This window comes from Homo sapiens, chromosome X (assembly GCF_000001405.40).
Source record: "Homo sapiens chromosome X, GRCh38.p14 Primary Assembly".
In the NCBI taxonomy this organism is placed as follows: Eukaryota; Metazoa; Chordata; class Mammalia; order Primates; family Hominidae; genus Homo; species Homo sapiens.
In genome coordinates, this window is record NC_000023.11 from 80,588,454 (window position 1) to 80,613,514 (window position 25,061).

At 39.1% G+C, this 25,061-nt stretch overlaps 1 annotated feature.

Moving 5' to 3' along the window:
- Positions 1,959-2,912: an enhancer, noted in NCBI's record as "H3K27ac hESC enhancer chrX:79845911-79846864 (GRCh37/hg19 assembly coordinates)". NCBI's record gives its function as "activates a minimal SCP1, AML or CMV promoter by ChIP-STARR-seq in primed H9 embryonic stem cells {active_cell/tissue: H9 hESC(primed)}" and the evidence as "EXISTENCE:reporter gene assay evidence [ECO:0000049][PMID:30033119]".

Consider the following 25,061-nt stretch of genomic DNA (forward strand, 5'->3'; position numbering starts at 1 on the left):
CAAAGCAAACAAAAACAAAAAGTGGGGAAAGGATATCCTCTTAAACAAATGCTGCTTAGATAGTTGGCAAGCCACATGTAAAAAAATAAAACTGAATCCTCACCCTCACCTTGTATAAAAATCAACTCAAGATGATCCAAAGACTTACATCTAAGACCTGAAACTATAAAAATTTTAGAAGATAGCATTGGAAAAACTCTTCTAGACATTGGCTTAGGCCAAGAGTTTATGACCAGGAACCCAAGAGCAAATGCAATAGGAACAAATATAAACAGATGGAACCTAATTAAACTAAAGAGCTTCTGTACACCAAAAGAAATAATCAGCAGAGTAAACAGACGAACCATAAAATGGGAGAAAATATTTACAAACTATGCATTTGACAAAAGACTAATAGCCAGAATCTACAAGGAATGCAAGCAAACCAGCAAGAAAAAAACAACTCTATCAAAAAGTGGGCAAAGGACATGAATAGACAATTCTCAAAAAATATATACAAATGATTAACGTCACTAATTGTCAGGTAAATGCAAATTAAAACCACAGTGAAATATCATCTTACTTCTCTAAGAATGTCCATAAATAAAAAAAAAACATAATACATATTGGTGTGAATGTGCTGAAAAGGGAACACCTGTACGCTGCTGGTGGGAATGTAAACTAGTACAATCACTATGAAAAAGATTATGAAAATTCCTTAAAATACTAAAAGTAGAACTACCATTTGATCTAGCAATCCCACTTCTGGGTATCTACCCAGAGGAAAAGAAGTCATTATATGAAAAATACACTTGCACACACATTTATAGCAGCACAATTTGCAATTGTAAAAAATATAGAACCATCTTAAATGTCAATCAACCAACGAGTGGATAAGGAAAATCTGGTATATATACACCATAGGATACTACCTAGCCATAAAAAGAAACAAAATAATGACGTTTATAGCAAGTTGGATAAAGTTGGAGACCATTATTCTAAGTGAAGTAACTCAGGAATGGAAAACTAAATATTGTGTGTTCTCACAAATAAGTAGCAGCTAAGCTATGAGGATGTAAAGGCATAAAAATGATATAATGGACTTTCAGTACTTGGAGAAAAAAGTGAAAAGGAGGTGAGGATAAAAGATTATACACTGGGTACAGGGTACACTGCTTGGGTGATGGGTGCACCAAAATCTCAGAAATTGCCACTAAAGAACTTATCCATGTAACCAAAAATGACCTGTTCCCCAAAAACTGTTGAAATTAAAATAAAATAAAATAAATGATGCCCACTTTAAAAAATTAAGAAAAGTTCTCCAATCTGTGTAATTGTATGGAAATTAAACAACATACTCCTGAATGATCTTTGGGTAAATAATGAAATTAAGGCAGAAATTAAGACGTTCTTTGAAACTAATAAGAACAAAGATACAACATCCCAGAATCTTTAGGACACAGCTAAGGGAGTGTTAAAAGAAAACTTCATAGCACTAAATACACACATAAAAAAGTTAGAAAGATCTCAAATTAACTACCTAATGTCACAACTGAAAGAATTAGAGAAGCAAGAAGAAATCAACCCCAAAGATAGCAGAAGACAAGAAATAACTTAATTCAGAGCTGAACTAAAGAAAATCAAGACATGAAAAAACATTCAAAAATTGCACAAATTCAGGAGGTGTTTTTTTTGGGGGGGGCAGGAAGACAAATAGGCCACTAGCTAGGCTAATAAAGAATAAAAGAGAGAAGATCCAAATAAACACAATTAGAAATGACAAAGGGAGTATTGCCACTGACACCACAGAAACAAAAATAACCATCAGAAACTACTATGAAACCTCTATGCACAAAAACTAGAAACCCTAGAAGAGAAGGATAAATTCCTGGAAGCATACACTTTGTCAAGACTGAACCAGGAGAGAAAAACTTCTGTATCGCTCCCGCTCCCTCTCCCTCTCCCTCTCCCTCTCCCCTCTTTCCACGGTCTCCCTCTGATGCCAAGCCAAAGCTGGACTGTACTGCTGCCATCTCGGCTCACTGCAACCTCCCTGCCTGATTCTCCTGCCTCAGCCTGCCGAGTGCCTGTGATTGCAGGCGCGCGCCGCCACGCCTGACTGGTTTTCGTATTTTTTTGGTGGAGACGGGGTTTCGCTGTGTTGGCCGGGCTGGTCTCCAGCTCCTAACAGCGAGTGATCTGCCAGCCTCAGCCTCCCGAATTGCCGGGATTGCAGACGGAGTCTGGTTCACTCAGTGCTCCATGGTGCCCAGGCTGGAGCGCAGTGGCGTGATCTCGGCTGGCTACAACCTCCACCTCCCACCCGCCTGCCTTGGCCTCCCAAAGTGCCGAGATTGCAGCCTCTGCCCGGCTGCCACCCCATCTGGGAAGTGAGGAGCGTCTCTGCCTGGCCGCCCATTGTCTGGGACATGAGGAGCCCCTCTGCCTGGCTGCCCAGTCTGGAAAGTGAGGAGCATCTCTGCCCCACTGCCATCCCATCTAGGAAGTGAGGAGCGCCTCTTCCCAGCCGCCATCCCATCTAGGAAGTGAGGAGCGTCTCTGCCCGGCCGCCCATCATCTGAGATGTGGGGAGCGCCTTTGCCCCGCCGCCCCGTCTGGGATGTGAGGAGCGCCTCTAACCGGCCGCGACCCCGTCTGGGAGGTGAGGAGCATCTCTGCCCGGCCGCCCCGTCTGAGAAGCGAGGAGACCCTCCGCCTGGCAACCGCCCCATCTGAGAAGTGAGGAGCCCCTCCACCCGGCAGCCGCCCCGTCTGAGAAGTGAGGAGCCCCTCAGCCCGGCAGCTGCCCCGTCTGGGAAGTGAGGAGTGTCTCCACCCAGCAGCCACCCCATCCCGGAGGGAGGTGGGGGGGTCAGCCCCCCACCCGGCCAGCCACCCCGTCCGGGAGGGAGGTGGGGGCGTCAGCCCCCCGCCCGGCCAGCCACCCTGTCCGGGAGGTGAGGGGCGCCTCTGCCCGGCCGCCCCTACTGGGAAGTGAGGAGCCCCTCTGCCCGGCCAGCCGCCCCGTCTGGGAGGGAGGTGGGGGGGTCAGCCCCCCGCCCGGCCAGCCGCCCCTTCTGGGAGGGAGGTGGGGGGGTCAGCACCCCCGCCCGGCCAGCCGCCCCGTCCAGGAGGGAGGTGGGGGGGTCAGCCCCCCGCCTGGCCAGCCACCCCGTCCGGGAGGGAGGTGGAGGGGTCAGCCCCCCACCCGGCCAGCTGCCTTGTCTGGGAGGTGAGGGGCGCCTCTGCCCGGCCGCCCCTACTGGGAAAGGAGGAGCCCCTCTGCCCGGCCACCACCCCGTCTGGGAGGTGTACCCAACAGCTCATTGAGAACGGGCCATGATGACAATGGTGGTTTTGTGGAATAGAAAGAGGGGAAAGGCGGGGAAAAGATTGAGAAATCGGATGGTTGCCGTGTCTGTGTAGAAAGAGGTAGACATGGGAGACTTTTCATTTTGTTCTGTACTAAGAAAAATTCTTCTGCCTTGTGATCCTGTTGATCTGTGACCTTACCCCCAACGCTGTGCCCTCTGAAACATGTGCTGTGTCCACTCAGGGTTAAATGGATTAAGGGCGGTGCAAGATGTGCTTTGTTAAACAGATGCTTGAAGGCAGCACGCTCGTTAAGAGTCATCACCACTCCCTAATCTCAAGTACCCAGGGACACAAACACTGCGGAAGGCCGCAGGGTCCTCTGCCTAGGAAAACCAGAGACCTTTGTTCACTTGTTTATCTGCTGACCTTCCCTCCACTATTGTCCTATGACCCTGCCAAATACCCCTCTGCGAGAAACACCCAAGAATGATCAATAAAAATAAATAAATAAATAAATAAAATAAAATAAAATAAAAAAAGACTGAACCAGGAATAAATTAATTCCATGAACAGACCAATAACAAACTCCAATATTGAATCAGTAATAAATAACCTACCAGCAAAAAAAAAAAAAAAAAAAAAAAAAAGCCCAGGAACCAATAGATTCAGGACGAATTCTACCAGATGTACAAAGAGCTAATACCATTCTTACCGAAACTATTCCGAAAGAATTGAAGAGATGGGACTCCTCCCCAACTCATTTTATGAGGCCAGTATCATCCTGATACTAAAACCTAGCAGAGACATAAGAAAATAAAACTTCAGGCCAATATTCTTGATTAACACAGATGAAAAATCTTCAACAAAATACTTGCAAATCAAATACAGCAACACACCAAGACGCTAATCCATCACAAGCAGGCTTCATCTCTGGGATGCAATGTTGGTTCAACAGACACAAACCAATAAATGTGATTCATGACATAAACACAACTAAACAAAAAAACCACATGATTATCTCAATAGAGGCAGAATAGGCTTTCAATAAAATTCAACACCTCTTCATGTTAAAAACTCTCAATAAACTAAGTATTGAAGAAACATACCTCAATATAATGAGCCATGGCAAACCCACAGTCAATTATTTCAAACCCACAGTAAACATAATACTGAGTGGCCAAAAGCAGAAAGCATTCCCCTTGAAATCCAGCACAAGACAATGATGCTTTCTCTAACCTCTCCTATTTCACATAGTAGTGGAAGTCCTAGCCAGAGCAATCAGGCAAGAGAAAGAAATAAATGGCATCCAAATAGAAAGAGGCAAAGTCAAACTATTTCAATTTGTAGATGATATGATTCTATATCATTAAAAAAAAAGTTTTGACCCAGAAGGTTCTTCAGCTCATAAACAACTTCAGCAAAGTTTCAGGATACAAAATCAATGTATGAAAATCACTAGTAATTTTGTACATCAACAACAACCAAGATGAGAACCAAATCAGAAAGGTAATCCTAGGAACACCTAGGAATAAAATACCTAGGATACAGCTAACCAGGGTGACAAAAGATCTCTACAATGAGAATTACAAAAAGCTGCTCAAAGAAATCAGAAAAGACAAAAAGCACAGGGGAAAACATCCCATGAACATGGAAAGGAATAATCAATATTATTAAAATGGCTATACTGCCCAACGCAATTTACAGATTTAATGCTATTCCTATCAAACTGCCAATGAAATTCTTCACAGAACTAGAAAAAAACCTATTTTAAAATTCAGATGAAGGCAAGAAATAACTAAGATCAGAGCAGAACTGAAGGAGATAGAGACACAAAAAACCTTTCAAAAAACCAATGAATCCAGTAGCTGGTTTTTTGAAAAGATCAACAAAATTGATAGACCTCTAGCAAGACTAATAAAGAAGAAAAGAGAGAAGAATCAAATAGACGCAATAAAAACTGACAAAGGGGATATCACCACCCATCCCACAGAAATACAAACTACCATCAGAGAATACTCTAAATACCTCTATGCAAATAAACTAGAAAATCTAGAAGAAATGGATAAATTCCTCGACACATACAGCCTCCAAAGACTAAACCAGGAAGAATTTGAATCTCTGAATAGACCAATAACAGGATCTGAAATTCAGGCAATAATTAATAGCTTACTAACCAAAAAAAGTCCAGGACCAGATGGATTCACAGGCGAATTCTACCAGAGGTACAAGGAGGAGCTGGTACCATTCTTTCCAAAACTATTCTAATCAATAGAAAAAGAGGGAATCCTCCCTAACTCATTTTATGAGGCCAGCATCATCCTGATACCAAAGCCTGGCAGAGACACAACAAAAAAAGAGAATTTCAGACCAATATCCTTGATGAACATTGATGCAAAAATCCACAATAAAATACTGGTAAACCGAAACCAGCAACACATCAAAAAGCTTATCCACCATGACCAAGTGGGGTTCATCCCAGGGATGCAAGGCTGATTCAACATACGAAAATCAAGAAACATAATACAGCATATAAACAGAACCAAAGACAAAAACCACATGATTATCTCAATAGATGCAGAAAAGGCCTTTGACAAAATTCAACAACCTTTCATGGAAAAACTCTCAATAAATTAGGTATTGATGGGACGTATGTCAAAATAATAAGAGCTATCTATGACAAACCCACAGCCAATATCATACTGAATGGGCAAAACTGGAAGCATTCCCTTTGAAAACTGGCACAAGACAGGGATGCTCTCTCTCACTACTCCTATTCAACATAGTGTTGGAAGTTCTGGCCAGGGCAATCAAGCAGGAGAAGGAAATAAAGGGCATTCATTTAGGAAAAGAGGAAGTCAAATTGTCCCTGTTTGCAGATGACATGATTGTATATCTAGAAAACCCCATCGTCTCAGCACAAAATCTCTTTAAGCTGATAAGCAACTTCAGCAAAGTCTCAGGATACAAAATCAATGTGCAAAAATCACAAGCATTCTTATACACCAATAACAGACAAACAGAGAGCCAAATCATGAGTGAACTCCCATTCACAATTGCTTCAAAGAGAATAAAATACCTAGGAATCCAACTTACAAGGGATATAAAGGATCTCTTCAAGGAGAACTACAAACCACTGCTCAATGAAATAAATTAGGATACAAAAAAACGGAAGAACATTCCATGCTCATGGGTAGGAAGAATCAATATTGTGAAAATGGTCATACTGCCCAAGGTAATTTATAGATTCAATGCTATCCCCATCAAGCTACCAATGACTTTCTTCACAGAATTGGAAAAAATCACTTTAAAGTTCATATGGAACAAAAAAAGAGCCTGCATTGCCAAGTCAATCCTAAGCCAAAAGAAAAAAGCCGGAGGCATTATGCTACCTGACTTCAAATTATACTACAAGGCTACAGTAACCAAAACAGCATGGTACTGGTACCAAAACAGAGAAATAGACCAATGGAACAGAACAGAGCCCTCAGAAATAATGCTGCATATCTACAACTATCTGATCTTTGATAAACCTGACAAAAACAAGAAATGGGGAAAGGATTCCCTATTTAATAAATGGTGCTGGGAAAACTGGCTAGCCATATGTAGAAAGATGAAACTGGATCCCTTCCTTGTACCTTATACAAAAATTAATTCAAGATGGATTAAAGACTTAAATGTTTGACCTAAAACCATAAAAAACATAGAAGAAAACCTAGGCAACACCATTCAGGACATAGGCATGGGCAAGCACTTCATATCCAAAACACCAAAAGCAATGGCAACAAAAGCCAAAATTGACAAATGGGATCTAATTAAATTAAAGAGCTTCTGCACAGCAAAAGAAACTACCATCAGAGTGAACAGGCAATCTACAGAATGGGAGAAAATTTTTGCAACCTACTCATCTGACAAAGGGCTAATATCCAGAATCTACAATGAATGCAAACAAATTTACAAGAAAAAAACAACCCCATCAGCAAGTGGGCGAAGGATATGAACAGACACTTCTCAAAAGAAGACATTTATGCAGGGAAAAACACATGAAAAATTGCTCATCATCACTGGCCATCAGAGAAATGCAAATCAAAACCACAATGAGATACCATCTCACACCAGTTAGAATGGTGATCATTAAAAAGTCAGGAAACAACAGGTGCTGGAGAGGATGTGGAGAAATAGGAACACTTTTACACTGTTGGTGGGACTGTAAACTAGTTCAACCATTGTGGAAGTCAGTGTGGTGATTCATCAGGGATCTAGAACTAGAAATACCATTGGACCCAGCCATCTCATTACTGGGTATATACCCAAAGGATGATAAATCATGCTGCTATAAAGGCACATGCACACATATGTTTATTGCAGCACTATTCACAATAGCAAAGACTTGGAACCAACCCAAATGATGAACAATGATAGACTGGAATAAGAAAATGTGGCACATATACACCATGGAATACTATGCAGCTATAAAAAATAGTGAGTTCATGTCATTTGTAGGGACGTGGATGAAGCTGGAAACCATCATTCTCAGCAAACTATCACAAGGACAATAAACCAAACAACACATGTTCTCACTCATGGGTGGGAATTGAACAATGAGAACACATGGACACAGGAAGGGGAACATTACACACTGGGGACGGTTGTGGGGTGGGGGGAGGGGGGAGGGATAGCATTAGGAGATATACCTAATGCTAAATGACGAGTTGATGGGTGCAGCACACCAACATGGCACGTGTATACATATGTAACAAACCTGCACGTTGTGCACATGAACCCTAAAACTTAAAGTATAATAATAATAAAATAAAATTTTTTAAAAAAGAACTAGTTTACAGTCCCACCAACAGTGTAAAAGTGTTCCTGTTTCTCCACATCCTCTCCAGCACCTGTTGTTTCCTGACTTTTTAATGATCGCCTTTCTAACTGGTGTGAGATGGTATCTCATTGTGGTTTTGATTTGCATTTCTCTGATGGCCAGTGATGATGAGCGTTTTTTCATGTGTCTTTTGGCTGCATAAATGTCTTCTTTTGAGAAGTGTCTGTCCATATCCTTCACCCACTTGTTGATGGGGTTGTTTGTTTTTTTCTTGTAAATTTGTTTGAGTTCTTTGTAGATTCTGGATATTAGCTCTTTGTCAGATAAGTAGATTGCAAAAATTTTCTCCCATTCTGTAGGTTGCCTGATCACTCTGATAGAAGTTTCTTTTGCTGTGCAGAAACTCTTTAGTTTAATTAGAGCCCATTTGTCAATTTTGGCTTTTGTTGCCATTGCTTTTGGTGTTTTAGACATGAAGTCCTTGCCCATGCCTATGCCCTGAATGGTATTGCCTAGGTTTTCTTCTATGGTTTTTATGGTTTTAGATATATCATGTAAGTCTTTAATCCATCTTGAATTAATTTTTGCATAAGGTGTAAGGAAGGGATCCAGTTTCAGCTTTCTACATATGGCTAGCCAGTTTTCCCGGCACCATTTAATTTAAATATTAAATAAGGAATCCATTTCCCATTTCTTGTTTTTGTCAGGTTTGTCAAAGATCAGATGGTTGTAGATGTGTGGTAGTATTTCTGAGGGCTCTGTTCTGTTCCATTGGTCTATATCTCTGTTTTGGTACCACTACCATGCTGTTTTGGTTACTGTAGGCTTGTAGTATAGTTTGAAGTCACGTAGCGTGATGCCTCCAGCTTTGTTCTCTTGGCTTAGGATTGACTTGGCATTGCGGGCTCTTTTTTGGTTCCATATGAACTTTAAAGTAGTTTTTTCCAATTCTGTGAAGAAAGTCATTGGTAGCTTGATGGGGATGGCATTGAATCTATAAATTACCTTGGGCAGTATGACCATTTTCACGATATTGATTCTTCCTACCCATGAGCATGGAATGTTCTTCCATTTGTTTGTATCCTAATTTATTTCATTGAGCAGTGGTTTGTAGTTCTCCTTGAAAAGGACTTTCACATCCCTCGTAAGATGGATTCCTAGGTATTTTATTCTCTTTGAAGCAACTGTGAATGGGAGTTCGCTCATGATTTGACTTTCTGTTTGTCTGTTATTGGTGTATAAGAATGCTTGTGATTTTTGCACATTGATTTTGTATCCTGAGACTTTGCTGAAGTTGTTTATCAGCTTAAGGAGATTTTCGGCTGAGATGATGGGGTTTTCTAGATATACAATCATGTCATCTGCAAACAGGGACAATTTGACTCCCTCTTTTCCTAATTGCATACCCTGTATTTCTTTCTCCTGCCTCATTGCCCTGGCCAGAAATTCCAACACTATGTTGAATAGGAGTAGTGAGAGAGGGCATCCCTGTCTTGTGCCAGTTTTCAAAGGGAATGCTTCCAGTTTTTGCCCACTCAGTATGATATTGGCTGTCGGTCTGTCATAAATAGCTCTTCTTATTTTGAGCTATGTCCCATCAATACCTAATTTATTGAGAGTTTTTAGCATGAAGGGCTGTTGAATTTTGTCAAAGGCCTTTTCTGCATCTATTGAGATAATCATGTGGTTTTTGTCTTTGGTTCTGTTTATATGCTGGATTACATTTATTGATTTGCATATGTTGAACCAGCCTTGCATCCCAGGGATGAAGCCCACTTGATCTTGGTGGATAAGCTTTTTGATGTGCTGCTGGATTCGGTTTGCCAGTATTTTATTGAGGATTTTTGCACCGATGTTCATCAGGGATATTGGTCTAAAATTCTCTCTTCTTTGTTGTGTCTCTGCCAGGCTTTGGGATCAGGATGATGCTGGCCTCATAAAATGAGTTGGGGAGGATTCCATCTTTTTCTATTGATTGGAATAGTTTCAGAAGGAATGGTACCAGCCAGCTCCTCCTTGTACCTCTGGTAGATAGTTAGCCATTCGTCTAATCTTTTTTCAAGGTTTTTAACTTCTTTGCGAAGGGTTCGAACTTCCTCCTTTAGCTCAGAGTAGTTTGATCATCCTTCTTCTCTCAACCCATCAAAGTCATTCTCCATCCATCTTTGTTCCATTGCTGGTGAGGAGCTGCATTTGTTTGGAGGAGGAAAGGCGCTCTGATTTTTAGAATTTTCAGTTTTTCTGCTCTGTTTTTTCCCTATCTTTGTGGTTTTATCTACCTTTGGTCTTTGATGATGGTGACGAACAGATGGGGTTTTGGTGTGGATGTCCTTTCTGTTTGTTAGTTTTCCTTCTAACAGTCAGGACCCTCAGCTGCAGGTCTGTTGGAGTTTGCTGGAGGTCCACTCCAGACCCTGTTGGCCTGGATATCAGCAGCAGAGGCTGCAGAACAGCGAATATTGGTGAACAGCAAATGTAGCTGCCTGATCTTTCCTCTGGAAGTTTTGACTCAGAGGAGTACCTGGCCGTGTGAGGTGTCAGTCTGCCCCTACTGGGGGTGCCTCCCAGTTAGGCTTCTCAGAGGTCAAGGACCCACTTGAGGAGGCACTCTGTCCATTCTCAGATCTCAAGCTGTGTGCTGAGAGAACCACTACTCTCTTCAAAGCTGTCAGACAGGGACATTTAAGTCTTCAGAGGCTTCTGCTGCCTTTTGCTTGGCTATGCCCTGCCCCCAGAGGTGGAGTCTACAAGAGGCAGGCAGGCTTCCTTGAGCTGCAGTGGGCTCCACCCAGTTTGAGCTCCCCAGCTGCTTTGTTTACCTACTCAAGCCTCAGCAATGGCGGGCACCCCTCCCCCAGCCTCACTGCCACCTTGCAGTTTGATCTCAGGCTGCTGTGCTAGCAATGAGTGAGACACCATGGGCTTAGGACCCTCCGAGCCAGGTGTGGGATATAATCTCCCGGTGTGCCGTTTGCTAAGACCATCAGAAAAGCACAGTATTAGGGTGGGAGTGACCCAACTTTCCTGGTGCTGTCTGTCACCCCTTTCCTTGGCTATGAAAGGGAATTCCCTGACCCCTTGTTCTTCCCAGGTGAGGCGATGCCTCACCCTGCTTCGGCTCACTCTTGGTGTGCTGCACCCACTGTCCAACAATCCCCAGTGAGATGAACCCAGTACCTCAGTTGGAAATGCAGAAATCATTTGTCTCTGTGTCACTCACACTGGGAGCTGTAGACTGGAGGTGTTCCTATTCGGCCCTCTTGGCTAGAGTCCTCCCGCCATTTTTTTTCAAGTCCCATCTCAAAGTAATATAAATTATTCTATCATAAAGACACATGCACATATATGTACATTGTAGCAGTATTCACAATTGTAAAGACATGGAATCAACCTAAATACCCATCAGTGGTAGACTGGATACATTAAATATGGTGTATATACACCATAGAATACTACAAAGCCACAGAAAGAATGATATCATGTCCTTTGCTGGAACATGGATGAAGCTGGAGGCCATTATTCTTAGCAAACTTATGCAGAAACAGTGAAACAAATACAGAATTTTCTCACTTGTAAGAGTGGAATCTAAATGAGAACACATGGATACATAGAGAGGAACAACACACACTTGGTCCTATCAGAGGGAGGAGTGTGGGAGGAAGGAGAGGATCAGGAAGAATAACTAATGGGTACCAGGATTAATACATGGGCCATGAAATAATCTGTACAATGAACTCCCATAGCATGAGTTTACCTATATAACCAACCTGTATATGTACACCTGAAATTAAAATATAAGTTTTAAAAGTTTTATAACATAGTTATATTTTAATTTATTGCATATCAATAGCTATTATAAATAACAGATCTTCAAGCATATAAATATATTAAATTAGCCTAAAGTTATGTGGGGAAAATAGAACAAATATACAATTCAAAGAGAAAAATGAACAATAAAAACTTTCCGACTGTTAAGGAAGAGCTCATTTATTTATTTTCTAAGTTGATGATGGTGTGTATCCAATTACTATGGTAGTTAGATATCACTTGTTACATTTATGATGTAAAACTTTTATTAGAAATCTCAATATTTGTAATACACTAGAAATTGCATCCCCTACAACTATTTAAACTTATAATGAATGTTTGATATCAAACTAAAAATATGTAATGGAGAGAAAAGTTTATCAAAATTATTTTATAAGATTGTCAGAAAACCAAACACTGCATGTTCTCACTCATAAGAGGGAGTTAGACAATGAGAACACATGGACACAGGGAGGGCAACATGACACACTAGGATGTTTCAGGGGGTGTGAGGCAAGGGGAGGGAGAGCATTGGGACAAATACCTAATGCATGCAGGGCTTAAAACCTAGATGACTTGTTGATAGGTGCAGCAAACCACCATGGCGCATGTATACCTATGTAACAAACCTGCATGTTCTCCACATGTATCCCAGAACTTAAAGTAAAATAAAATAAAATAAAATAAAATAAAATAAAATAAAATAAAATAAAATAAAATAAAATAAAAAGATTGTCATGCAAAAATGCTTAAAAATGGCCATCCTAAGGCTTTGAATAATTCTATTGTTTTATCATGGAGAGCACCTAATGAAGATACATGTCCTGGGGCTGGAGAGGCAATTGTCCTGGAGTCACCCTGATGAATAGGAATCATACATTTCCACTCAAACTCCCTTTCTTTCTCTAGCCATTATTTCTACATATAGATATATTTTCAAGGATAAGTGGAATAAAAAGCCTCCTCTGTGGAGGAATTTGAGGCTTTAAGGAACAGAATACCCAGCTACCAAACCTCTCTCTTCACCATTACTACGGCCAAAGACCTTCTATTTCATTCTTTGGATCTCAGATTTATCTTTTGCCAAATCTATCAAAATGAAAGTGTGACTCAGAGCAGAAGAAATTCCTTGTCAGTCTATTTGTAGCAAAAATTACCAAAAATTGAGGTTAAAAAGTAGATGCTAAGGATTAGAAAAAGAAGAGTAAATTTAGGAGAGGAAGAAAAATTCATACATTCATCAGTACACATACTAGTACATTTCAGTAAGCATTATTGAGTCCACTTTAATTGAGTTCTGAAAGGGAAGGTGTGAGGCCCAAAAACAAACTTCACAACCTGCACATTTTCCCAGGGGTTGTTCTTATTCTCTTGTATAAAAGTCAAAAATGCAGCAGACAATTGAAGGAGATTATTTTATTCAGGCTATTGCCATACATATAAAGTTTATCAACAAAGAATCAACTTATTAATTAAGAAAAAGAAAGGGGCCTGAAGTTTTATAAAGATGGTTAGACAGAGGAGTCTTGAGGAAGGGTAGATAAGTCTTATTTAAAGGGTGGAGGTGGTTGTTACTGGATGCCACCGTGCAGCTCTAGGCACTTGATGTCCCGAACAAAGAATTGAATGAGACACACACAGATAGCAAAGCAAGCAGCAAAAGTTTATTAAGCACAGTATTACACTCTCAGAGAAGGAGAACGAACTGACCTCTGCAAGATGTGATCAGCATTACTTTGGTGTACTTTGTGTCTTTTGTGTGTTTTTTTTCCTTCTCTTCCCAAGGCTGCTTAATCTCTAGCCAGTGTCTGCCTTTTGACTGATAGGTGTGTTGCTTAGTTACTTTGGCGGGTGTGTGCTTTCACGTGCCTCTATCCCATAATTTTAACTACATGAAAGATATGCAGTCCATATGCATGAGCTTAAATGAGCTGATTATCATACAGATTCATTTTAAGGATACTTCTTCTCTTTAATGCGCATGCCTATCCCTGAAGAGTTGCCCCTTACTAGTCTGGTCCGGATTCTGCCTGCTTTGGGTCCTTGCTTGCTTCTTTATCTTATTTTTTTGTTTTGGCTACTTAATTTCTACCTCCTATCTTGCTTCTTGATTACCCACCCCTTCACCTGGCTTCTGCTCAATACTTTTACTCATTCCACCCCTTATCCAACTTTTAATTCCCTTGCTATTCTCCTGCGTCATTCTCCACATTCTTCTGCCTCAGTCAGTTCTCAAAATACACAAGCAAAGGAAAAAAACAGTTTGAGAAAAGTTTTGAATTGATTTCCCAGAACACAGGGCTCAGATAAAGTTTAACATTGTCAATTTCCCTTTTGTTGGAGACAAATTAAGTTTGTCACTGAACAACTCAGAAGTAATTTAAAGCCCGCTTTACCAGGGTCCATGAAATAGTCTCTCAATGACTTTTGTTGGCATTCTTCCTGGAAAACTGGTTGAATCATCTATTGAAAGGATGTGGCAAAGGTCAGTTTTTTAGGGTCCTAACGCCTAGGCATCTTTAAAAAAGGGATACCTAAAATCTAGTCCAATTTACTGTTAGGTACCAAAACTATATTTGGGCGGGGGGTGGCTAAAAAGGAGGTTTTAAGCAATTCAATTAAATCTTTACCAGGCAAGTCAGAGTTTGCATACCCATTAGTAACAAATAACTCAAAGATAAAATAACAACGCTAGAATTGATAACTCCAAATGGTGTGCTATAGATTATGCTTAGTTTTCTATTGAAACACAAAATTTATCTCTGTAGTCGCCCCGTTTTTGGTCAATGTGAATCTCAAAGAAAAATTATTTTTGACCATGAAATAAGGCTGGTATCATTAAATTTGACTATTTAGATAGATGCAAAAAGAATGGCAATTTATCATATAGGCTTTTTAAAAGTTTGCTTTGCTGGAAATGTTTATAAAGAATCTCATATTAAACTTTTAATTTTTTATTGTGATAAAATATACATAACATGAAATCTACCATTTTAATAATATTAAGCCTACAATTAAGTGACATTCACAACATTGTGCAATCATTGCCACTATCCATTTTCATCATCCCAAATAGAACCCCTGTACCTATTAAACAAGAACTCCCCATTCTATCCCCTTCAGCTCCTGGTAACCTCTATTCTTCTTTTCATCTCTAAGAATTAGCTTATCCTTGGTACTTTATACAAGTGGAATCATATAATATTCATCCTTTTGTGTAAGACTTCACTTAGCATAATGTTTTCAAGGCTTATCCCTGTTGTAGCATGTATCAGAATTTTATTCCTTCTTAATTCTGAATAATAGTCCATTGCATATATACCACATTTTGTTTATCCATTTATCTGCCATGAGAAAAGGTGCACAGTGAGTCTTATCTGAAGGACAGAAGCAGTTAGTTCTCAGAATACACCATGGCAAGGTGGTCCTTTGTGGTTAGCTGTTCAGAACACAAAAGGGTATTTGGGGGTGAGGGATTTTCAACTGTCCCTGCTTTCCAGGAGCACAAGGCTCAAATAAAGTTCTAAATTGTCACATGACACACCATCTTTCTCCTTTTCAGGTTGGTGGTGGCGGGGGAAGGAAAGCTCAATCTAACAGTGCATTAAAAAAAAGAGATGCAAAGACAAACTTCTTGGACACCCAGCAGTGTCAGAGAAAGAAATAGAGCTAGTCCAATTGTTCAAAATTTGTTATTAATATTTCTTTATCCACAAACTTCCAGAATTACCTAATAACTTGGAGTAGAAGTAAACATAATCAAAAATGAAACTTGACAGTTATTTACTCACTAGCGCCTCCTCATTTTCTAGGGAATCTACTAGTAACTCTATGTCCTCCAAGCAAGCACATGAAATCTATCATTATATTTCTCTCAATTAAAACTATTAAACTATGTTCTGTGAAACAGCCAATACCTCATAACTGTCAGGCCTCTGAGCCCAAGCTAAGCCATCATATCCCCTGTGACCTGCACTTACACATCCAGATGGCCGGAAGCAACTGAAGATCCACAAAGGAAGTGAAAATAGCCTTAACTGATGACATTCCACCACTGTGATTTGTTCCTGCCCCACCCTAACTGATATGATATATTCTCCCCCGCCCTTAAGAAGGTACTTTGTAATATTCTCCCCTGCCCTTAAGAATGTATTGTGTACTCCTATCCCAAACCTATACTAATGATAATCCCACCACCCTTTGCTGGCTCCTTTTTTGGACTCAGCCTGCCTGCACCCAGGTGAAATAAACTGCCTTGTTGCTCACGCAAAGCCTGTTTGGTGGACTCTCTTCACACGAACGCGTGTGACAATAACACCATAAAAATGTGATTCACCCCCAAGAAAAGTGAATACATTTTCACTTGGTAAATTGTCAGTCATACCTCCAAGCTCTATGCACATTTTCATAAGTAAAAGAGCGCTCATAAATTAAGTAAATAAGTTTACGCAATTTTCAAGTTCACGTGACTTAAGTATAACTTTACTAAACAAGCTGGCTTTAAAATTATTGGTAAAATAAAAATAGAAATGCCTTCAGAATTGTCAGCATATATTTGTCTGGATTTTATGTTTGTCTTTGCTAGATATTCTGAGATGTCAGTGCTTGGCATAGAAATGATGAACCCAGACAAAACAAAATGATCTCGGTTTGTCTGCCTTTTTTCTTGACAAATGAGAATAATTTAATGTTAGCTTAATTTTCTGAGTTATTGGCCAAAATACCTACGCATTTAAATTTGAGGCTCTTACTTAGGTTTAGGTGAACACCTGATGTTCAGTGGCTATTAAAAACATGGTTAACAAGGAAATAACTAACTTTAAACAGAAGTAGTCTAGATACACTGTTAAAAGTGAAAGAATTGGTCTATCATGGTGGCTCATGCCTGTAATCCCAGCACTATGGGAGGCTGAGGTGGGAAGATTACTTGAGGTCAGGAGTTGTTGACCAGCCTGGACAGCATGGTGAATCCTCGTCTCTACTAAAAAGACAAAAATTAGCCAGGCATGGTGGTGTGTGCCTGTAATCCCAGCTACTCAGGAGGCTGAGGCAGCAGAATCACTTGAACCTGGGAGGTGGAGGTTGCAGTGAGCCAAGATCACACCACTGCATTCCAGCCTGAGTGACAAAGTGAGACTTCATCTCAAGAAAAAAAAAAAAAAAAAAAAAAGTACAGTGAATGAGATAAATGTTTTAGGTAAACTTTTTGTGTAAATTAAAATATTAAAATTATTTTTGATGCTCATTGAATATCTGAGTCATTTCCAATTTAAAAAGTTTGTGATATGGGGAAATGTGTTTCTAAAAATTGTAGAATTATACTTATCTATAAATGCTCATATCTGATGGTTCAGGATTTCTTGCTTTTTAGGATTTCGCTTAAGTTTTAGGTTACTAAGGATAAGAGTTCTAGTTAACACATAATTCTGTATACAAAATGTACCAGAAATGGTTCTGTTATTAGTGAGAAAAACAATAATCTCATCTAATTTGGAAGTTATCTAAAAGTTAGTTCAAATTACAGATTTGAAAAGGTTATTTATGAAACAATGTAGTAAGGACCAGTAAGTAGGGGAGAAAGAAGTGAAAAAAGTTTACATAATAAAATACTCTTTATAACCTGATAGAGAATTGGAGACATTTGGCTAATTAACATTTTCATAGTTAAAGCTCTTAGTCTTGATTAAAGTTGAATAAAAAATATTGTAAAGAAATGCATTGACAGTTTGGCAATTATTATTTTTTAATATAGTTAGGCATGAAGCCAGATTTAGTGTGGAGCTAAATTTCACATACATGCTTGCATTGCTTGACACTATGTTTACTGTTTTACATGGGCAGTGCTGGCCCTAGAGTACTTATTGGTCATGTGCCTAGAGTGAATTTCTTGATCGCATAGAATGTATAGTGATATTGGTGGACCTAAGGATATTGAACTGTGTACCAGGAATAAAATATTAATTATGTGGGTTTTGGGAGGCTCTGGGTAGCACTGTAGCCTCAAAATTTAGGGTTGATTTTCTGTTTGTTTTGGCTTCCAATTTTTATTCATTGCTGTGTATCCTCCTCTAGGCCTTGCTTATGTATGCATATAAATAAAATCGTGATTTTTTTAGTTTTTAGGGGAAGGATTTTATTTGGTTATGTGAATAGTTATTTTGTTTCCTATGCATTTTTAGTAAGTAATCATTTGTTCCATTTATCTGGAATTTCTGGGCTACCTTTGTCAGACCTGCAGGAATTAATGGAGCACAGCAGCTTTTTAAACTTTAACTTTTTGGATTTTAGGCTTCCTGATACTTTAAGTGTGTTGAGTATAATTTCATAAACAGAATTTGAGTCATATTTCTCTTTCTGCCTAATTTTTCAAAAATCTATGAACTATCTGTAAATATTGTAAATTCATGGGAATGTATTTGCATACAGTTGAGCAGGATTGCTAGGGTCACTCAGGGAAATACAAACAAGAAACCTGGAACACCAGGAAAAGGGTAACAATTTCTTACCAGTCACACTTTGACCTCTCTTTCTCTTTGCAAACTGGTTAAATGAATGGTAAAAGTCACTGTTTATCTCCTCTGTGAAGTTTTGATTAATACAAAAAAAGAATTCTGAGGCTGGTCTTAAGCTGTAGTCAATCTAGTGTGCCTTGTGTGTCTATCTGTATTGTTTGGTCACAAAGAGGGGTACGTTAGGATAAAATGCATGCCTAGGACCCCCACAGGTTCTCTATTTAAGATGGCCCAGCAAACCGGTCAGTCATGTCCTTGATAGCTTGAGTTTGTAACCATGTGCTTGTGCTTTCTCTTTTCACAATGGCAGCCCAGGTTTAGGGTTCAATTCCTGGCTTAAGGAATGAGTCCTTTGTATTGTACATATAATATTTTTAAAAGCTTTATTTAATTGGTTTAATAAGAGCTTATTTTAATAATAATAGCTTATCAAATATTTTGTCTGAAAAGTAAAAAGTATAATGTCTTTTATTTAGTTCATGTGACTTAAAAATATCTTAAAATGTAAACATTTGGTTTAAATTATGCAGGTCAGATATTAGGTCTGCTAAATGCTTTAGGTCATAAACTGCTTCTTTGGCTTTTAAAAATTGGTCAATTTATTTTGGAGCATTAGATTCTAAATAAGGCCTGGGGACATGCGAAATTAGCCATGCCTTCTAGCTATGCAAAGAAGGTTTTAAAGAAAAGACATTTTATATAAGAAAGGATCTAGTATGGTAAATTTTTGTCCTGAAGTAAAACAACTGGTTGTTTGAAAGAGGGATGTTTTGGAAAAGTCAGAATATCCAAACGTGTTATATATGGTCTGTGTAAGTCATGAAATAATTTGTGAAAGAGAATTTATGCAAGAAATGTTGTACAATTTAAAGATAATTAGGCCTCCTAAATGCTTCATAAAATGCCACTATGACTCTTAACTGTACAACTTGCCTGCTTTACAGATAGGTAAGGCCTGGGCCACATGGAGTTAGATGCTGGAAAGAGTCAAACCATATCTGCACTTTTGTCTGGGTCCTAGGCTCCACACCTAGTACATAATTAAAATTCTGAACTTAGCAAGGTTTTCACCAAAATTAAAAGTTGCTAAGAATTAACATTGTAACATGTAATTGAGACTGCTAAGGAAACCAGGTTCTCTTACACACTACCAGAATAGGGGATACATCCATGATGCTAAGGAATGGATGGACTGCAGGTCTCACCTCCATTGCACCTCACCAGGCAAAAAGCACTGGCCAAGGACTCCAGCACAGCCACCCTACCTCTGTTTGAGCACTTGGGCCAGTCACAGCTCTGCATTTCTCTGGGATAGAGCCCCCAGGGGTACTTGATAGGCCCATAGCCTTTGCCACTGCTGCAACCTCCACTCCTACTCCCCTTGTTGGGGAGAGAGCAAAGAGCCCAAGAACTGTCATGGGCCTCCAGCACACTGAAGCTTCCATAAAGAAAAGCAACTAGGCTGCTTTCCATGTGGGTCCCTGCCCCTTCTACTTCTCACTGGGCAAGGCCTCCTGGCCTGAACTCCCAGCGGAGCCACACTACCCACTTCAGTCAGTAGCAGCTTTGTATTTATATGGGGTGAAATTCTCAGAGACAACCAATAGGCTCTCTGTTAAGTGGTACTTGAAGTGGTACTTGTCCTTGCTGCCTTTGAGCTGGGGAATGAATAAAGACCTTGATTACTTTGCTCACAACTCCAGCACACCACAGCCACCATCAAAGAGACAAGTCTCTCTTCCCTGTGAGCTCCTGACCCCCTGCTTTTCACCAGGCAAGGCTGCCAGCTTGGGCCTGCAGTACAGACACCCTGCCTCCAGCTAAACATTCCCATTGGCAGCAGCTTTGTGTTTCTCTGACATGAAGTTCTTAGAGACAACTGACAGCCTCTCTGCCACTGCCACTTTACGGGTACCTGGCCTTGCTGACATCAGCTAGGGAATTAAAAAACAGCCTGAGTGTGTTACTTGCATATCTACCACACCACAGGTACCCTACAGAGAAGAAGAGAAAGGATGGAGCTCCCAGAGAAAGGTGATGGTCTCTCTGCCATTGCTACTGCCAAGGTTTCCACCCATGCTCCTCCAAAGCTGGGGAGAAAACAAAAAGTCTGAACTCGCCTGGGAATGCCAAGCCAAAATCTGTAGACAGCATTTGAATGGGAAAGGAGTCTACACTTTCAGAACAGTGAGAGGGAGCATGACTGCAAACTCAAGAAAATACAGAGATGCTGAGCAGCTGAGTAAGGACTTATCTATCAGCCATTACATTTAAGCACCATCTACTGGATTACAGCCCAAACTGAAACACCAAACATACTTTGCTAATATACCCTACTGTGAAACCAAGGGCAAGAATTTATCCACAAAGAACCTGAACAGAGACCAAGCCCTCTGAAAACATCCAAAAATGAAGCCAACTGACTATATTGAAATTACACCACAGTTGAAAAAAATCAACCCACACAGATGAGAAAGAAGCAATGCAAGCACTCTAGCAACTCTCAAAGCTAGGGTGTCTTATTATCTCTAAAGAAACACACTAGTTCCCCAGCAATGGTTTTTAACCAGAATACAATGGCTGAAATTACAGATATAGAACTCAGAATCTGGATGGCAACAAAGATTATTGTAATTCAGGGAAAAGTTGAAACCCAATTCAAGGAATATACGGAATCCAGTAAAATAATTGAAGACATGAAAGATAAAATAGCCATTTTAAGAAAGAAACACACTGACCTGATAGAGCTGAAAAACTCACTACAAGAATTTCATAATAGAATTGCAATTATTTACAACAGAATAGACCAGGTTGAGGAAAGAATCTCAGTGCTTGAAGACCAGTTCTTCAAATAAACTCAATCAGACAAAAATAAAAAATAAAAATTTTAAATAAACAAAACCTTCAAGAAATATGAGATTGTATAAAGAGACCAATCCCATGACTCATCTGTGTTCCTAAAAGAGGAGAGAAAGCAAGCAACTTGGAAAACATATTTGAGGCTATTGTCAATGAAAATTTCTGCAACCTCAATAGAAAGGTTCACATGCAAATTCAGGAAATTCAGAGAACCCCTGCAAGATACTATATAAGATGACTATCCCCAAGACACATATTCATCAGATTCTCCAAAGTCAAAGTGAAAAAAAATTCAAGACAGCTGTAGAGAAGGGGAAGGTCACAAACAAAGGGACCCCCATCAGGCTAACAGCAGAAACCTTACAAGTCAGAAAATATTTAGGGCCTATATTCAGCACTCTTAAAGAAAAGAAATTCCAACCAAGAATTTTATATCCAGGCAAACTAAGCTTCATAAGCAAAGAGGAAATAAAATTCTTTCCAGACAACCAAGTGTTAAGGGAATATGTTACCACCCACCTTCCTTATCCCTATAAGAGGTTTTTAAGGGAGTGCTAAACATGAAAACCAAAAATTATTATTGGCCACCAAAAAAAAAACACACACTTAAGTACATAGACACTATTAAAAAAAAAAACTACACAATCAAGCCTACATAACAACCAATTAACAACACAATAACAAGATCAAATCTGCACACATCATTATAACATTGAACATAAATAGGTTAAATGCCCCACATAAAAGGCACACAATGGGTAGTTGGATAAATAATTAAGATTCACCTATATGCTGTCTTCAAGAGACCAAGGACACCCATGGACTCAAAGTATAGGAATTTGCTATCAAGCAAATGGAAAACAACAAGAAAAAAAAGCAGGGACTGCTATTCTTATTTTAGACAAAACAGACTTTATGTCAACAGTGATTGAATAGGAAAAAGGGCATTACATTATAATAAAAGGTTAAATGCAACAAGAAGACTTAACTATCCTAAATATATATGCACCCAACACTGGAGCATCCAGATTCACAGAACAAGTTCCTAGAGATTGTTGAGAGGCTTAAATAACCACACAATAAGAATGACTAACTTCAATACTTCACTAACAGCATTAGACAGATCACTGAGGCAGAAAACTAACAAAAATATATGAGAACTAAACTGTACACTTGACTAAATGGACCTGAGACACCCACAGAATACTCCACCCAGCAAAAACAAAATATACATTCTTCTTATCTTCACATGATACATAGTCTAAAATCAACAACACACTCTGCCACAACTCAATTTTCAACATTTTTTAAAAAAAACAAAATTATACAAACTACATTCTCAACCACAGTGCAATAAAAATAGAAATTAATACCAAGAAGATCTCTCAAAACCATACAATTACATGGAAATTAAACAACCTGCTCCTGAATGACTTTTGGGTAAAAAAAAATGAAATTAAGGCAGAAATCAAGAAATTATTTGAAACTAATAAAAACAAAGATACAATGTACCAGAATCTCTGGGACACAGCTACAGCAGTGTTAAGAGGAAAGTTAATAGCACTAAATTCCCACATCAAGAAAAGTAATAATGATCTCAAATTAACAAACTAGCATCATACTTAGAGGAACTGGAAAAACAAGAACAAACCAACCTGAAATCTAGAAGATGAAAATAACAAAAATCCGAGCTAAAATAATTAATGTGGAGATGAGAAAAACCATACAGAAGATTAACAAAACCAAAAGCTTGTTCTTTGAAAGAATAAATAAGGCCGATATATCACTAGCTAAAGTAATAAAGAAAAAAAAGAGAGAAGATCAAAATAAACACAATCATAAATGACAAAGGGGACATTACTGCCAACCCAACAGAAATATAAAATAATGCCAGAGACAATTATAAACACTTCTATTCATACAAATGGTAAAATCTACAAAAAGTGGATAAATTTCTAGAAACATACAACCTCTCAAGACTGAACCAGAAAGAAATTGAAATCCTCAACAGAACAAGTTCTGAAATTGAATCAATAATAAAAACCTTCAAAAAAAAAAAAAACCCAAAACAAACCCTGGACAACATAGATTGACAGCCAAGATGTATAAAGAAAAGTTGGACTTTGGGAGGCCAAGGCAGGTAGATCACTTGAGTTCAGTTGTTTGAGACCAGCCCAAACAACATGGCAAAACCCCATCTCTACAAAAAATACAAAAATTACCCAGGTGTGATGGCAAGTGCCTGTAGTCCAAACTACTCATGGGGCTGAGGCAGAAGGATTGCTTGAGCCCAGGAGGTCGAGGCTGCAATGAGCTGTGTTTGTGCCACAACACTTCGACCTGGGAAACAAAGCAAGACCTTGCCTCAAAAAATAAAAAATAAAAAACAGTAGGTGCCAATCTTACTGAAACTATTCCAAAAATTTGAAAAGGAGGGACTCCTCTTTAACTCATTCTGACATCAAAACCTGCCAGAGATATAACAAAAAGAAAACTCTAGGCCAATGTACTTAATAAAAATAGATGCAAAAATTATTAACAAACTACTAGCAAACCAATCTAGCAGCACATTAAAAAACTAATACAACAAAATCAAATAGGCTTTATTCTTGGGATGCAAAGTTGGTTCAATGCACACAAATCAATACATGTCATTCATTACATAAAAAGAACTAAACACAAAACCATGTGATCATCTCAATAGATGCCCAAAAGGCTTTCAATAAAATTTAACATTGCTTTATGTTAAAAACCCTCAGGAAACTAGGCATCGAAGGAACATACCACAAAATAATAAGAGGATTCTATGACAAACCCACAGCCAACATTATACCAAATGGGCAAATGCTGGAAGCATTCCTCTTGAGAAGCAAAACAAGACAACAGGGCTCAAACTCACTACCCTCAGTCCATAGTACTGGAAGTCCTAGACAGAGCAATCAGGCAATAGAACGAAAGAAAATGCATCTAAACAGGATGAGAGAAAATCAAACACTGTCTCTTTACAGATTATATAATTTTATACCTAGAAAACTCTATAGTCTCTGTCCAAAGACTCCTAGATCCTGATAAACAACTTTAGTAGAGTTTCAGGATACAAAATTAATGTAGAAAAATCAGTAGCATTTCTGTATACCAATGATGTCCATAAAAGCCAAGTCAAGAACACAATCCAATTCACAATAGCCACAGAAAGAGTAAAATACGTAGGAATACAGCTAACCAGGGAGGTGAAAGAACCCTACAATGAGAATTGCAAAACATTGAAGAAAGAAATCAGAGACAACACACACAAATGGAAAAACATTCCATGCTCATGGATAGAAAAAAAATCAATATTGTTAAAATGGCCATACTGCTCAAAGCATAGATTCAGTGCTATTCTTATCAAACTATCAATGACATTGTTCACAGAATTAGAAGGAATTATTCTAAAATTTATATAGAACAAAAAAGTCTGAATAGCCAAAATGATCCTAAGCAAAAACAATGAGGCTGGAGGCATTACACTACCTACTTCAAGCTATACTACAAGGCTACAGTAACCAAAACAGCATAATTTCAGTATAAAAACAGAAATATAAACCGATGGAACATGTTACAAGCCCAGAAATAAATTCACACACCTACAACCATCTGATCTTCAACAAAGTCAATAATGACAAGCAATGGGGAAATGACTCCCTATTCAATAAATGGTGCTAGGGTGACTGACTAGCTATATGCAGAAGATTGAAACTGGACTCTTCCTTTTACTATATACAACA